At 36.6% G+C, this 13,931-nt stretch overlaps 1 protein-coding gene across 18 annotated transcripts in view; it reads right to left on the bottom strand.

The window, feature by feature from the left end:
- HIVEP1 (HIVEP zinc finger 1) overlaps positions 1-13,931 on the bottom strand; it is a 204,356-nt gene that overhangs the window by 144,004 nt on the left and 46,421 nt on the right. Inside the window, exon 1 of one of the 18 annotated variants that reach the window (XM_011514555.4) lies at positions 6,935-7,036. The exons of the other annotated variants lie outside the window; for them this stretch is intronic. Within the exon in view, the coding sequence (XP_011512857.1) occupies positions 6,935-6,941 (7 nt within the window). The 5' untranslated portion in view covers positions 6,942-7,036. Of the gene's footprint in view, positions 1-6,934; positions 7,037-13,931 lie in introns of those variants that run through there. 18 annotated transcript variants of the gene reach the window in all.

Below are 13,931 nucleotides of genomic sequence, written 5' to 3'. Positions count from 1 at the left end.
TCTCTTCTAAAGCACAGCCCCCTCACCAGCACGAATCAGAAATTAAAAAGGTATGAAAAATATAAGTAGGTCTTAGAGGGGAGAAAAATAAAATGAATACAATGGATAAAATCTAACAGCTTTAGTCATCAACTACAGATATGATCTTTATTTGGGAATTATCATCAAAATAAACCAACAAACACCCTAACATCTTACAATTCCTCAAGACTACATTGGGGGCCATTGATTTGTACCCCACATAACCTAATACCTTCCCTTCCCTACCAGAGCAGTTGTTTCCTTTCATCATAACAGCCCCTCACCAGACCATGGAGTGCATGGTCTGGGGAGGACAGGCAGGAATTGGGGACACAAGCAGGAGTTGCTCACCACTGTCCTCAGCACAGAGCTGGACACACAGCAGGCAGGGCACCCAATAATCTCCAGCTTGGCATCAGATAAATGCAATAAATCCAAACCATTCTACGCCATTGGCGCCTACTCAAAAGCAGGGAAGAATTAACATTTTATAACCACAAGAAAAATATACCTTAAAAAAAAAATCCAAGCTCAAAAACTTTAAAATTAACTACATTGTTTAAATAGTCCTTATTATTATTTCTGTAAAATAAATGGCTAAACGGCCAGTCAACTTCCTTTAAAGAATTCATGAGAAAAGTTCACAAATTTTTTGTAGTTTCACAGAAATAGATTAAATATGTAACATTCCAATTATTAATTTTCCATGCTACAATTTTAAATGTAAATGATAGTAACTACTAAGTGATACACTTCAATAAAAATAGAAAATGGTTAAAACATAAAGAAATTTATAGGTAGTCAACTGCAAGATCCATAATACTAATAATTAATCATTATTTAAAAGTTAGTTTTTTAATTAAACTTAAACCCTAACCCTATCCCTAACACTAACTCTAACCAGCCAACACATTCAGAGATATATTCCCTAAACGGATTTTCCAAAGACTAATACTTAGAAAATGTACCACCAAATCTGCTGATGAAAATACACTAAATTATATTTCAGGAAAATAAATTATCTGGAATCCACATTACTATTATTATTGTTGTTCAAAGCCATTAGCCTAACTAAATAACAGTACATATATTTTGTATGTATGTATATATAATAAAGTGTATGTGTGTGTATATATATATACACACACACACACACAGTGTCTTTGTTTGAAATATATCCACCATCCCATTATATATAAACATAATGCCTTCTAGTTATTCGTTTTCACTGTTACCTTGAAGAAATAGCTCAGAGAAGACAATGATAATATTGGGCCCATCATACATTAAAGTGGTTCCGAACAAATATTTATTTATGATAAAATTTATAATGCACAAAATTCCCCATCTAAATCTTCATAATCTAAGCAGTCAAAAAATTCATATGCTTTGAGAAATCATCACAATTCAAACAATGAACAAGTGTCATTTCTTTCACAAAGGAAGTACTTGGCTAAGTCCAACACTTCCAAGGACTCTGGCCAAAAATAACAGTAATTAAGCTTGTAACTTCATATGTATGGATCTGAACTAGTCAAACCAAAAATAGCTTTCTGATCATTTATCAGCTGCTGCCATTTGCCTAAGAAGCTAACTGCAACAAAGAGACTAAGTTAGACAAATCATGGTGAAAACACACAGAAATATAACTGAACTTAAGACTTAAAGCTCTTTTCAGTTATTATGTGGTAGCACAAGAGGGATGGTCATCATGCAATTATTTGGATACTTAACAAGATTAACTATTTCTTAAACTCCCTAAGATACATGTAAAATACACAGCAAAACACAGAATTAACACACACGCACACAGCTCTTAAAACCAATGGAAACAGCGCACAAGCTATCTGTTCCCATCCAGCGTAAGAATCGCTCCCCTTGAAAATTCTCCTCTTGAATGAACAACACTGCCTTTTAGGGATGCCCACAGCACACAGCTTGCCTTCCCCCACTGCTGCCTCAAGCTCATGGTGTTCCTTCTCATGAGAATCACCTCCCCAATGTTCCTTTACACCTGCCTGGGAAGCCCTCATTCTCCTTACTCACAGCCGCACCCTCGCACTTCAGGCCCTACTGGGGGATATCCAACAGTAACAGCTTCCTGTGTGCTGAGTGCTGTTCTGAGGACTTCACATCTACATCTGAACCAGTCAAACCAAAAATAGCTTTCTAATCGTTTATCAGCTCTGCCATTTGCAGAAGCTAACTGCATCATAGAAACCAAGTTAGGCAAATCACAGCAAAAACACACTAAAATAAAACTGGACTTAGAGCTCTTTTCAGTTATTATATTGTAACAACCATTCAATGCACACACACACACACACACACGCACACACACACACACACACACAAAACCTACCTGGGAGGAGACCACCCTTCACCTCCATTTTCCAGAGGAGCAAACAGTGGCACACAGAAGCGAATTCACAGAGCCCGTCAGGGGAAGAACCAGCTTGAACCCAGGCAGATTTGCCTCCAGAACGGGAAGTTGCTGGTACAGTGATACTCTATGCCACATCCCTGTATTCTATGTGTGTATCAAAAGGGCGTCCTGCCTGACCTGGCAACTTCTCATCTTTCATGTGTGAGCATCAATGTCACATGCTCTTGAAGCTCTCTCCTGACACTAACTGGGAGCACTCCAGTGTGCACCAACAGCACCCCACCTCTTCTTGTGTTAAATGTATGTGTGTGACCTTGCTTGTTTCATGTCTGCATCACCCTCTAATATCAAACGCCATGATCAGAATCTATCATAGTTATTCTCCTATCCCAGGTCCCAACATTTATCCACAACTCACCAGTTTTTCATGACATGCTTTAACTCCAACTCTCAGAAACACCTACTAATGATTCCAGGAAAGTAACAGTTTCTTGCCTCCCTATACATTGCACAGACCTTTACCTAGTTCATACAATTTGGCATTTAGTTGCATCCAATTTGTCCACCATGATTTAGGTCTTTTTTGGGCCTTAAATTATCTATTATGTGTGAATCTCTTTTCCATCTGAGATGTTTTAGCAACCTGAAGATAGAAGAGCCAACCCCACAGTATGTGTACAGCCCTAGAAACACAGCATATGCTCAATATGGCTGGATTCACATCTGTTGGAGGGAAAGAACATACTGAAAATGTCTTGACTGCTTCATGAAGGCCCACTGGGAAATCGGGATGGAAAATCAAATTGAAAAATTCCTTTTGCAGGGAAAAACAGAGCAGCCACTAACTGATCTAACTGATCAACAGAAGTGTAATGGGAATATGTGTGTGTACGGCGTGGGGAGGGGACACACAAAAAATGAAAACTCCATGAAGCTGTCAGGAAAGGTAGCCTCTCCCTTCTCTTCCCTTTTGTCTTCTCTTGGGCTAGACCTAAGAACCAAGAGTTCTCAGTTCTGGCTCAAAACTGAAGTTTCATTTTACTATGGTAGAAATCACAGACAGACACATGCAGATACATACAATTTCACCAGCATAATTTTGCAGAATAAAAAAAGGTTTTATCACCACTACTGAAATAATGAACACTAAAAAGTACCTTATAATACTATCATTTAAGTTGCAATTACAATTCGTGGTGATGTCACCCACTGCTGTTAACAAACGATCATTAAGTTCTGCTTGTGATGACCTTATTGAAATAGCTCCCAAAACAGCCTGCTGAGGTTATTTGCTGAGAAAGAAAGAAACTTCATCTGGTTTCCCTGACTGTTGTAACACAGAAAGAGTCTGGAATACTTTAGTCATTACCATTTACAAAATTTATGATACATATGCCGTTCCCACTATAGGGATGCATTGCTTCCAGAAATCCGTAAACTTCAAAATTGTGACTCAAAAACACTGAGTCACAATACATTAAAAAAAATTTATTTGGTGTCCAATGAATTATTTAGTTTACAAGTAGATGCATTAGAGAAGAAAGCTCTAGGGTCAAGGCCAGAAACCTGGGTAGGAGCAAGCAACCTGGCAAGAATCCAGGAAGAGGGAATATTATATATTATACCAAGGCATGTTCCTTGCCAAAATCTGAGGTCTCTCATTTTCCAAGATCACACCTAATCTTCAAACCAAGGCAAATCATGGAAGTTTTAAATATGGGAGTCACTTGGCAGTCCCAAACTTAAGACCCAAGGTTTGCAGTGCTCAGGAAGGTCTAGGACATGCAATGATTTTTACCACTAAGAAACATATGTGAATCTCATGCATGGTGAAGCTGGTACACAAGAGGTTTCACTTGGTTGGAGAGTCAGTCTTGCAGACTGCCCAGTGACCACCTCTCAAAACCTTCACTGTTCTTTATTAAGTGCTGTCAAATGTGTAATACTCTGGCAATCCCCAAGTCCTCTGATTCTTCCTCCAAAAACCTCTCCAAGCTGCCCACTTCAGCCACCCAGATCCAAGCCCCTTCTCTCCCCAAGACATCTGCCTCTGCCTCTTTGCAGTCCTCTGCATGGCATCTGCTCCTGCCCTTCCCTGCCTTCCAACCCACCTTCCACGTGCAGCCACACCTGCCAACATGAGCCAGCTCCTCCCTCCCCACTTTCCACCAATGTCCTCATCCCAATCTTGTTTAATGCCATATAACTCCACTAGTGGTTTTTAGGTTGGGGTGATTTTGCCCCCCAAAAGGCATTTGGAAATGCCTGGAGACATCTTGGTTTACAACTGAGGGAGGAAGACTGCAATTGGCATCTAGTGGGTACAGGCCAGGGAGTCTGTCAAATATCCCGTGACACACAGGACAGTGCCCAAGACAAAGAATTATCTAGGCCAAATCATAAATGGAGCTGAGGTTGAAAAACTCTGCTAGAAATCAATAAATATTTTAATGATAACTGAAAAGCATTCAATATTACTTTAATCATATCCTCTTTATTCCTCCTTTTATTCTATTAACTATTTCCAAAAAGAGTAAAACATAATTTAGATTAGCATATTATATTTTTAAATCATGAATAATGATACGTGTTAGCAATAACTACTACTAACAGGGGAGTCTTCACATTTAGCACAAGAATGAAAGTACTCACATGTATTCTTCTAGTAAGTACCTGTGAGAAAACTAAGGCATGAAGAGGCGTAACTTCGGTCACTCAGCTAAGACAAGGAAAGCTGGGATTCCATCCCAGGACACCTGAACAGAAAGCTTTTCCCACTATGCCAGACTACACTATACTTTCAATACGCAAAATGACAGTAACGTGTGGGTGTTAGAAACTTCTCTCAGTTCAAATCCTGGTCTATCCCTTTCTTATCTTTATGACATTGAGCAAGTTACTTATAAGCCAAACCTCAGTTACCTCATCTGTAATGGGTGAGAAAATGGTACCTACCTCACAAAGTTGCATGAGATTCAGAAAAAACAAGAATAAGAATATTTAGAGTAGCACTCGGCATGTAGCTGGCACTCATTAAAGATTACTTCTTATTGTCTAACAAATACTCAAATATTTTATTCCCCATAGCCTTTTGACTTGCACGAGCAATTGAAAAAAAGAAAACCAATTTTGGCTTCCTTGCTGAATAGATGTAACTTAGAATTAATTTAAAAATTAAGAAAAATAATGAAATGTTTAATTACATCAATATCTGTATCTAATAACTCATAAATGTTTATACATTTAAATATCGTACTCAAAAGGTAAAGAAATTTAGACTTACTATACAATATTCCAAATAAAAAAGAAATGGAAGGTTTAGGAAGCCAAATAAGGTTATCATTAAAGGAATAGTTTTATATATATAATCTCTAACATGTATTAAGTAATTTCTGAAATATTTTAACTTAATGTAATAATTTCTAAGTAAATTCTAAGTAAATCTGAACATTCTACAAATTTGTTCAGTGGCACTATGTAACACCATCACCTAGATTTTACCTAACACTATACTTTTAAAAAGAAAAGATTTGGCATTCATTTCACAGATTTGACTTAGGCAACTAGTTATTCTTTAAATAAGTTGTAATATGCATTAAGCAGTCAATGACTAACAAACTGACAATGTATTATTTCACCTAAACTATTTTTGACTCTACTATAAAACAATATTAATACTTGGCTCTCATTCAAATTTCATCAGAAAACTAAGAAGTCAAGTAAGTTTCTTTATATTTGGTAAATTTAATACATCATAGGATTTCCTCACGAGAAATAGATTTTTACTTAGAAATTTTTTTTAAACTGTAGCTTGGTGTTTAAGTTAAAATTACCAATCACATTTATTTTTAAACAAAGGCAATATCCACAATGATATCCACAAGAAAACAAAAGACAAATATAATTTTCATATTCAATTTACCACTTATGTCAACAAAAGCCATAAAATGATCATACTATAAACTTGTTAGCAATTTTCTATTTGATATAAAAGTATTTCCAATAAAATATACTATAACAATGATCAAAATTCTCAAAATTCATCTCTTCAGATATAAGCATTTTATCTACAAAACATGCAAGTGATTTTCTTCTACATTTTATGCAGAAAAAAATCTTCTAACTTTCATTGTTTCGTTTTTCTTCTATTAGCCAGCTACACCACTCTGTAATATCTGTATAACAATGATACCAGGTTAGTAACACAGTCATTTCTGGTTACAGTTTAACCTACCATATTAGATTTTTCTGAGTGTATTAGTCCCACAGTAATTTATTTGACCTGCTATTGATGTCATTTACCTATATGCAAACGTGCCAATTGAAGTTAGTCTCTTTTTATAACCAGGGTGTACATTTGGTTTAATTGTTTAAACTCTTTTCATCAAATCACATCAAGTGTAGGAAATCGCATCAAAGGGTGGGAACACACACAACATTACAATCCTTTCATTTCACATAGAGAATCCACAGGCACTTGCACAAACACATCCGTCACACCCAGGGGTATGTGCACAGTCACGTTACCAGCCATGACAGGTCGGCCATCCCCATTATCTGTGCCGCCGCGGCACACCTGAGCTCCCTGCCCCTTCACGTCACATCTAGGAGCAGCTCTAAGGCAGACTCTCGCTCATGGGCTGCCTCCTGGAAGTCCTCCCCCACTACCTCTCCATGGCAACCGCAGCCACAGAGAAGCCAGTCCATCTCTTACGCAAATGAAAGGAGGCCACAAATGTCAGCAGTCACAACATCCCCATTTTCCCTCCCTACTTAATTTCCTTCTTAAAGTCACAGTAATGCATTCTTCTTATTCTGCATCCGAGAGTACCTTCCCAACCGTTTAATGGCCAGGAAAGCAACTTAGGAAAATCAGAGTTAAAAATCCATCTGTGTGACCACTTACATAACATGACTGAGAATCCAAAGATGATTATGATTTGCTGAGTTTCATTTACTGACACAGTATCTCAGCAAGCCCCCTTTATGTCTCAGCATCCTAGTATTTGAGATAAGAGTCCTTTAAGATATTAACTATCCTGTAATTTGGCTTTCTTAAAAACGACAGAGAGAGAGAGGCCATCCATTATGACAGTCAAGAAACAATCAGTACTTAATATGCATTGTTTCTTTTGCAGATTCTCATTTATTTAGAAAAGTCAAGGTTTTAAAAAATATTTTTACTTTTAAACCAAATCATCAACTATCTAATTCTACAGGAGGGAAAAACTGAACAGATTATCATTCATTATTCAATTGTTATCAGGTTTAGTTTATACTGTAATTGTCTGAAGTTTTATTTCCCAGATATATATTTAAAGAAGCAAATATAATGGCTAGTTACACTTCATATGGCTACAGAGATTGGAAAGCAGATGTAAATCCCCATTAACAAAATCATGCTTACAATAACTGTTTAATATATAGATGTCAGATTTTAAAGTATGTTTTAATCCATGGGATGCACCAAAGTATCAAATTCTGTAAGTGGTTATAAACATGTGATGGTCTAATAAAAAGAATTCCAATTGAAATAGCTTGGAACAAGATACTACTGGTGAACAATATAAACGTGGTGGGTTTAATATTCTCCAAAACATGTATTCGAAATCAATTGAAATCCAAAACAGTTATGTTTACATGAAAAACAATACAAGAGAATTAGAACATTAAAAAGTACATATATATGTATACATGTATATGCATACACATTTTTTAGTTGTCCAATGAAAAGGGCAATTTAAAAACTTGAATTCTTCAGCAAAACATTTACTAAGTATCTACCAATGTGCTACGTACCCTACAGTTTAGGGACACAGAGACATGAGGCATTTTCATGGAGGGCCACTCAGAGGCAGTGGGAGCTGTACCTCAAGCAGCCCCAACCCATCCCAGCTGAGTATTCCAGGAGGCTGCCCAGAGGGACTAGAGGTGAATCTCAGGATCAAGTTTCAGTCCACAGCAGAAAAAGACTCAAGAGATTCAGGGAAAAGCATGATGGTTAGAAACAGCACAGTAGGCGAGGAGAACCCCAGGTAGGTGGCAATGCAGGGAGCACCACCGGAGGGATGTGGCAGAAGAAGCAGTCAAGATCATGGACACAGTAACGTGAAAGGAATCTAAGCCTTTATCTTGAGGTTTAGGGTTAGAGTATAGTGTTCTAGATAACACAATAACACAATCACATTACAAATTACTCAAATTATTCATTGCTGTTGGTTCTAAATGTTTAGCGGGAATCCCCACCCAACCTCTGTACCCCGCCCCCCAAAAAATGTAGGATAAGAAAGTATGAATGTTGGCTGGGCGCAGTGGCTCACGCCTGTAATTCCAGCACTTTGGGAGGCCGAGGCAGGTGGATCACTTGAGGTCAGGAGTTGGAGACCAGCCTGGCCAACATGGCAAAACCCCATCTCTTCTAAAAATACAAAAATTAGCTAGGTACAGTGGTATCAAATTCTGTAAGTGGTTATAAACATGTGATGGTCTAATAATAATAATTCCAATTGAAATAGCCTGGAACAAGATACTACTGGTGAACAATATAATGTTCAGCTATTTGGGAGGCTAAGGCAGGAGAATTGCTTGAACCTGGGAGGTGGAGGTTGCAGTGAGCCAAGATTGTGTCACTGCACTCCAGCCTGGGCAACAAACAGAGTGACACTCTGTCTCCAAAAAAGAAAAAAAAAAAAGTAAGCATGAATGTCTATGTCTATGCGTCTCACATAAAGCAGCTGTTAACTACACAGAGCAAGGTACTAAATCAATACATATGTACATACTTACATAGATATTTACATGCATACATGCATGCTTGGTAAAATTTTCTTTTGCAAAGCTTACTAGGTCAGCCCCACGTGACTTGTATCAAGAGACCAGGAGTCTAGTTCCAGCAATACCATCACCAGTACGGAGCTGTTTGCGCCTGGGCTGCTTGCCCAAGCTGCTGGAGCCACACCTAGGAAACATGGAAAATCTACCCCCTGCCTAAAGCTTCCATTCCAGAACTTACTACCCCAAAGTAAAGTATTTGTTCAGGTTGTCTATCTTTTAGGCTAGACTTTAAGGGCAACAGCCATATTTTATTCATTTTTATATCTCTAATATCTAACGCAATATTTGTTCCAACAACAACAACAAACATATTTTGAATCAATGCTCTCCAGGTTCCTTTCAGCTATAAGATCAATGACTCTAGGATTTTAAGAGTCAACTTCAAAAGAGCCAGCCAACTTGGGAGTGGAACTAAAATGTAAATGACATCATCAACCCCTTTAACTTCCTTTTGACAATTTCTATTTCTCTAAACACATGACTGGATGAATGCTATTTTCAAAACACTAACATTTGCAGAATTACCACTAAGCACTTTATAAATGCAGTATATATAAATTTTACACTTTTTTTTTTTCCAAATCACTGGCAATATTGACACTGACAAACACTCTCAGACCAAAGCCCCCTTACATGACAGCAGCATTTTGGTTTGAAACAATCAGAATCAATCTGATTACCTAGATGCCTTCCTTCTCACACTAAAGCGATGTGACAACTCAACATGCTGGCCTCAGGGACTTATGTACTCTAAACATCTGTTTAGCAAGAAAGCCACAATTGGTTTTCTTTTTTTCAATTACTCATGCAAGTCAAAAGGCTATGGGGAATAAAATATTTGAGTATTTGTTAGACAATAAGAAGTAATCTTTAATGAGTGCAAACTACATGCCGAGTGCTACTCTAAACGTTCTTCCCCAAAATGATGCACACTATTCTTCACATTTTACAGTTACTGTATTACTATTAGAAAGGATTCTACTGACTCCCCTCCCATTGTCCAAATAATTATTAAATTTTATATTCATCATTCTAATCTATTTAGAAAGAGTTATAATATCAAATATTCAAGAAAGAAGCCTCTTAACCAATCCTGAGCATATCAGAAGAGCCTACTAACTAGAATACCCCAGAACATCAAAGTTAGGAGATACCAACTGATGGTGAAGCTTTAGAATGAGTTACTTCATGAGACTATAACACAGTCATCATCTCTGAGAGTCTTTGATAAACAGAAAACAGAACAATGGAGGTAACCTCTTCAAGTTCCTCTTATTTCTGAGATTGCGGAATCTGCAGATTAATATCAAGATCATCTCTAGACCATATACCATATACTCACATGCAAAACTACCAAAAAAGGGGTAAGGAGGAAAATATGCATTTTTTCTAAGTATCTAGATTACTGACTGCCAACCATTTCAAGCATGAGGTCTTCTTTCCAACAAACAATGCTATAGTCCTCCAGGTGACAGTAGTTATATTTTTACTATCTGTTGATTTAGCAAACATATCAATAATAAAAATACAGGCAATACTTTTAAATGCACCTGTTATTTCATCAGTCACAATAGCATCTATATTCATTAATTTAAAATACAGTTGTACTCAAGTATATAAAAAGACTAAAATATCATCACCAAGTTAGAGCTCCAGAATATAAGGATAGCTTTGTCATCAGAAAAATCTATGCTTACAATTCATTATACAGACATGTTAAACCAAAACACTGATAAAAATTCCATACCCAGACTAGGCAACATGGTGAAACACCATCTCTACCAAAAAAGATTTAAAAAATTAGTCAGGTGTGGTGCTGCACACCTGTAGTCCCAGCTACTTGGGAGGCTAAGATGGGAGGATCACTTGAGCTCAGGAGGCAGAAACTGCAGTGAGCCAAGATCATGCCACTGCACTCCAGCCTGGGTAACAAAGCAAGATTCTGTTTGAAAAAAAAAAACAAAAACAAAAAACCATACCATTATTTGCAAAATACTCAAAAAGTTATGATTAAAATAATTTCCAAAACTATGTAAACAATGTCTGAGAAGCTAACTTGTATTTAACTGTGAACTACCAGAAGCATTGCCATTAAAGTCGCGTTTTTACCAATGATAGTATTTGATACTTCACTAGAGTCCTGGACAATGTAATAAAATTACAAAAAATTTAAAAGATGCATAAAAATTGTAAAGAAACAAAATCATTTTATTTGCAGCTGATATGATAATCTAATTAGACAAATCCCCCCAAAATCAACTGAATCGATAAGAATAAGAATTCAGTAAAGTGGCATATTCAAATTCAACTTACAAAAATTGATAACTTTAATACACTTTCAAATGTACAACAAATAAATGAACAAAAAAGTACATATACAGAGATAAGGCAAATGTGGCAAGACATTAACTGCTATGAATTCGACTGAAGGAAACACAGATTATTATTATTAATATTAATCTTTCCACTTTTCCTTAAGAACATCATACTACCTCGAGTCTAAGGCTCTATACAACATAGTAAGTACATTCAAGACACTTCCTTCATCTTCAAACCTCACATTGCCCAGTAACACACTAGTAATTTATTGATCCTATTTCACCTCCAAATAAATCCCAAAGACATTTAAACTTATTTTCTGCTCCAGACTCTTCACTTCCGCTTCTTCATTAATCTTTTTTTTTAACCTTAGTTTCTCTATTCCAGCCTTTTACCAGATCAAGGATAAAACTAGGGCCCCTAGAACAAGTGCCTAGAGCCATTTAATCCAATATATGACTTCTGCTACCTAAGGTGCTGAGCAAGCGCATATAAAATAAAAGGAGCAAATAACAGCTCATCTTTTGCACGAATATTACATATAGTACAGTTCCCCAAAATGATGCACACTAGCCTTCCATATCTCCCTGTGCTCACTTTATAACAGCACTAGCTTAATAGAACACTTGTCTTGGGCTTTATGGACCAAGCACGTTTATCTCCATCATCTTGCTGATTTTGTTTAACTTGCTTTGTGAGCAGGGAAAGGCTCTTTTAATCATAGTGATGAAATCTCATGATTCCAATCCAGGATGCTGGCAGAAATAACTCAATTTGTATCCTGAAATTTGCTAGCTTAGAAAAAAATTCCAGCTCAGAAATCAAATATCCAACCAAAAGGATTAAAGATTTCTTCTCCTGTAAACTGGATATTGGTGAGAGAAAAACATATAAATACCATGTCCATATTGTATCCTCCGGTTTGTGCCAACTGGTCAGATGAGGCATTGTGGTTTTCTATTTTAAATAGAAACAAAAAAAGATAACAAAATAATGACTTTTTATTTTTTTTTTGAGACGGAGTCTCACTCTGTTGCCAGGCTGGAGTGCAGTGGCGGATCTCAGCTCACTGCAACCTCTGACTTCCTAGTTCAAGGGGTTCTCCTGCCTCAGCCTCCCGAGTAGCTGGGATTACAGGCACGTGCCACCATGCCCAGCTAATTTTTGCATTTTTAGTAGAGACGGAGTTTCACCGTGTTGGCCAGGATGGTCTCGATCTCCTGACCTCGTGATTCGTCCGCCTTGGCCTCCCAAAGTGATGGGATTACAGGCGTGAGCCACTGAAAATCATGATTTTAACTGAAGAATTTTCTTTCCTGTTTAGATTCCTCAAGTATACATTCTAAAAACATACTATAACTTTAGGTTCGTAATGTTTATTGCAAGTATAATTCTATAATAATGTATTAATTACTTAGTATTATACTTTCCCACTAGGCAGTAAACTCTACAAGAGCAGGAACTTGCCCATCTTGTTCTGCACAGAAGTCTGACTACCTAGCGAGAAGACAATCTACATCTCACGAGAAACTGAATGAAAGTAGATCAAACTGAAGCTAACAAAGGTAACTTTCTAAAATGGGTATTTAACATGTAGATAATTTTTTCCTTAGAAGTATTTCAGGATAAACATACAAATGAATATCACAACCCTGAATTAGGTTCTTCTCAAATGCTCAGATTTTTTAATGAGCAAGAAGCACAACATCAAATAATATGCTATGTCATGAAATCATGTATGTTAATCAGAAAAGTGAAAAAAGAGGTTCCACGATAACCAAATAAAATGGAAACAAACTAATAACAGCAAAAAAAGTTCATTATGGTGAAGTCATGTGATACAATATTATGCAGTCATTTGAAACTGATGTTTATAGGGAATTTTAATGACACCGAAAAATACTAGTAATAGATAATATTAAGGGGAGCATCCCAAAAGATATACTGTATGATGCCAACTGTGCTTTAAAATTCATGTGTAGTTATATATTCATATGTATATGTGTGTAAATGTGCATGTATATATAGTCTAGATACATATGTAGGTATATGCATATATATCCATATGTATACATATAAATGAAAGATATCAAATTGTTAATAGTAGTTATTTCTGGATGGTACAGTTATGAGTGACTATAACTTCTGTATGTGGATCTTCCAAATTTTCTGAAACAAACATATAGTGTATGTTTTCTTGTAAATATACCTATAGACTATATACTGTTTTTCATACCATAGTTTCCACAGCATAAACCTTGGTATCAATCCAATTATTTGCAGAGTCATCAGGCAAATGAGTGAATCAAATGTAATAATCCCAAATATCTTGAGTTGGCATCACAATTGACAGATTAAAGTAAATAAACAC

This window comes from Homo sapiens, chromosome 6 (genome assembly GCF_000001405.40).
Source record: "Homo sapiens chromosome 6, GRCh38.p14 Primary Assembly".
In the NCBI taxonomy this organism is placed as follows: Eukaryota; Metazoa; Chordata; class Mammalia; order Primates; family Hominidae; genus Homo; species Homo sapiens.
The sequence above is the reverse complement of the archived record's forward strand: the minus strand, read 5'-3'. Positions and strand labels throughout refer to the sequence as shown.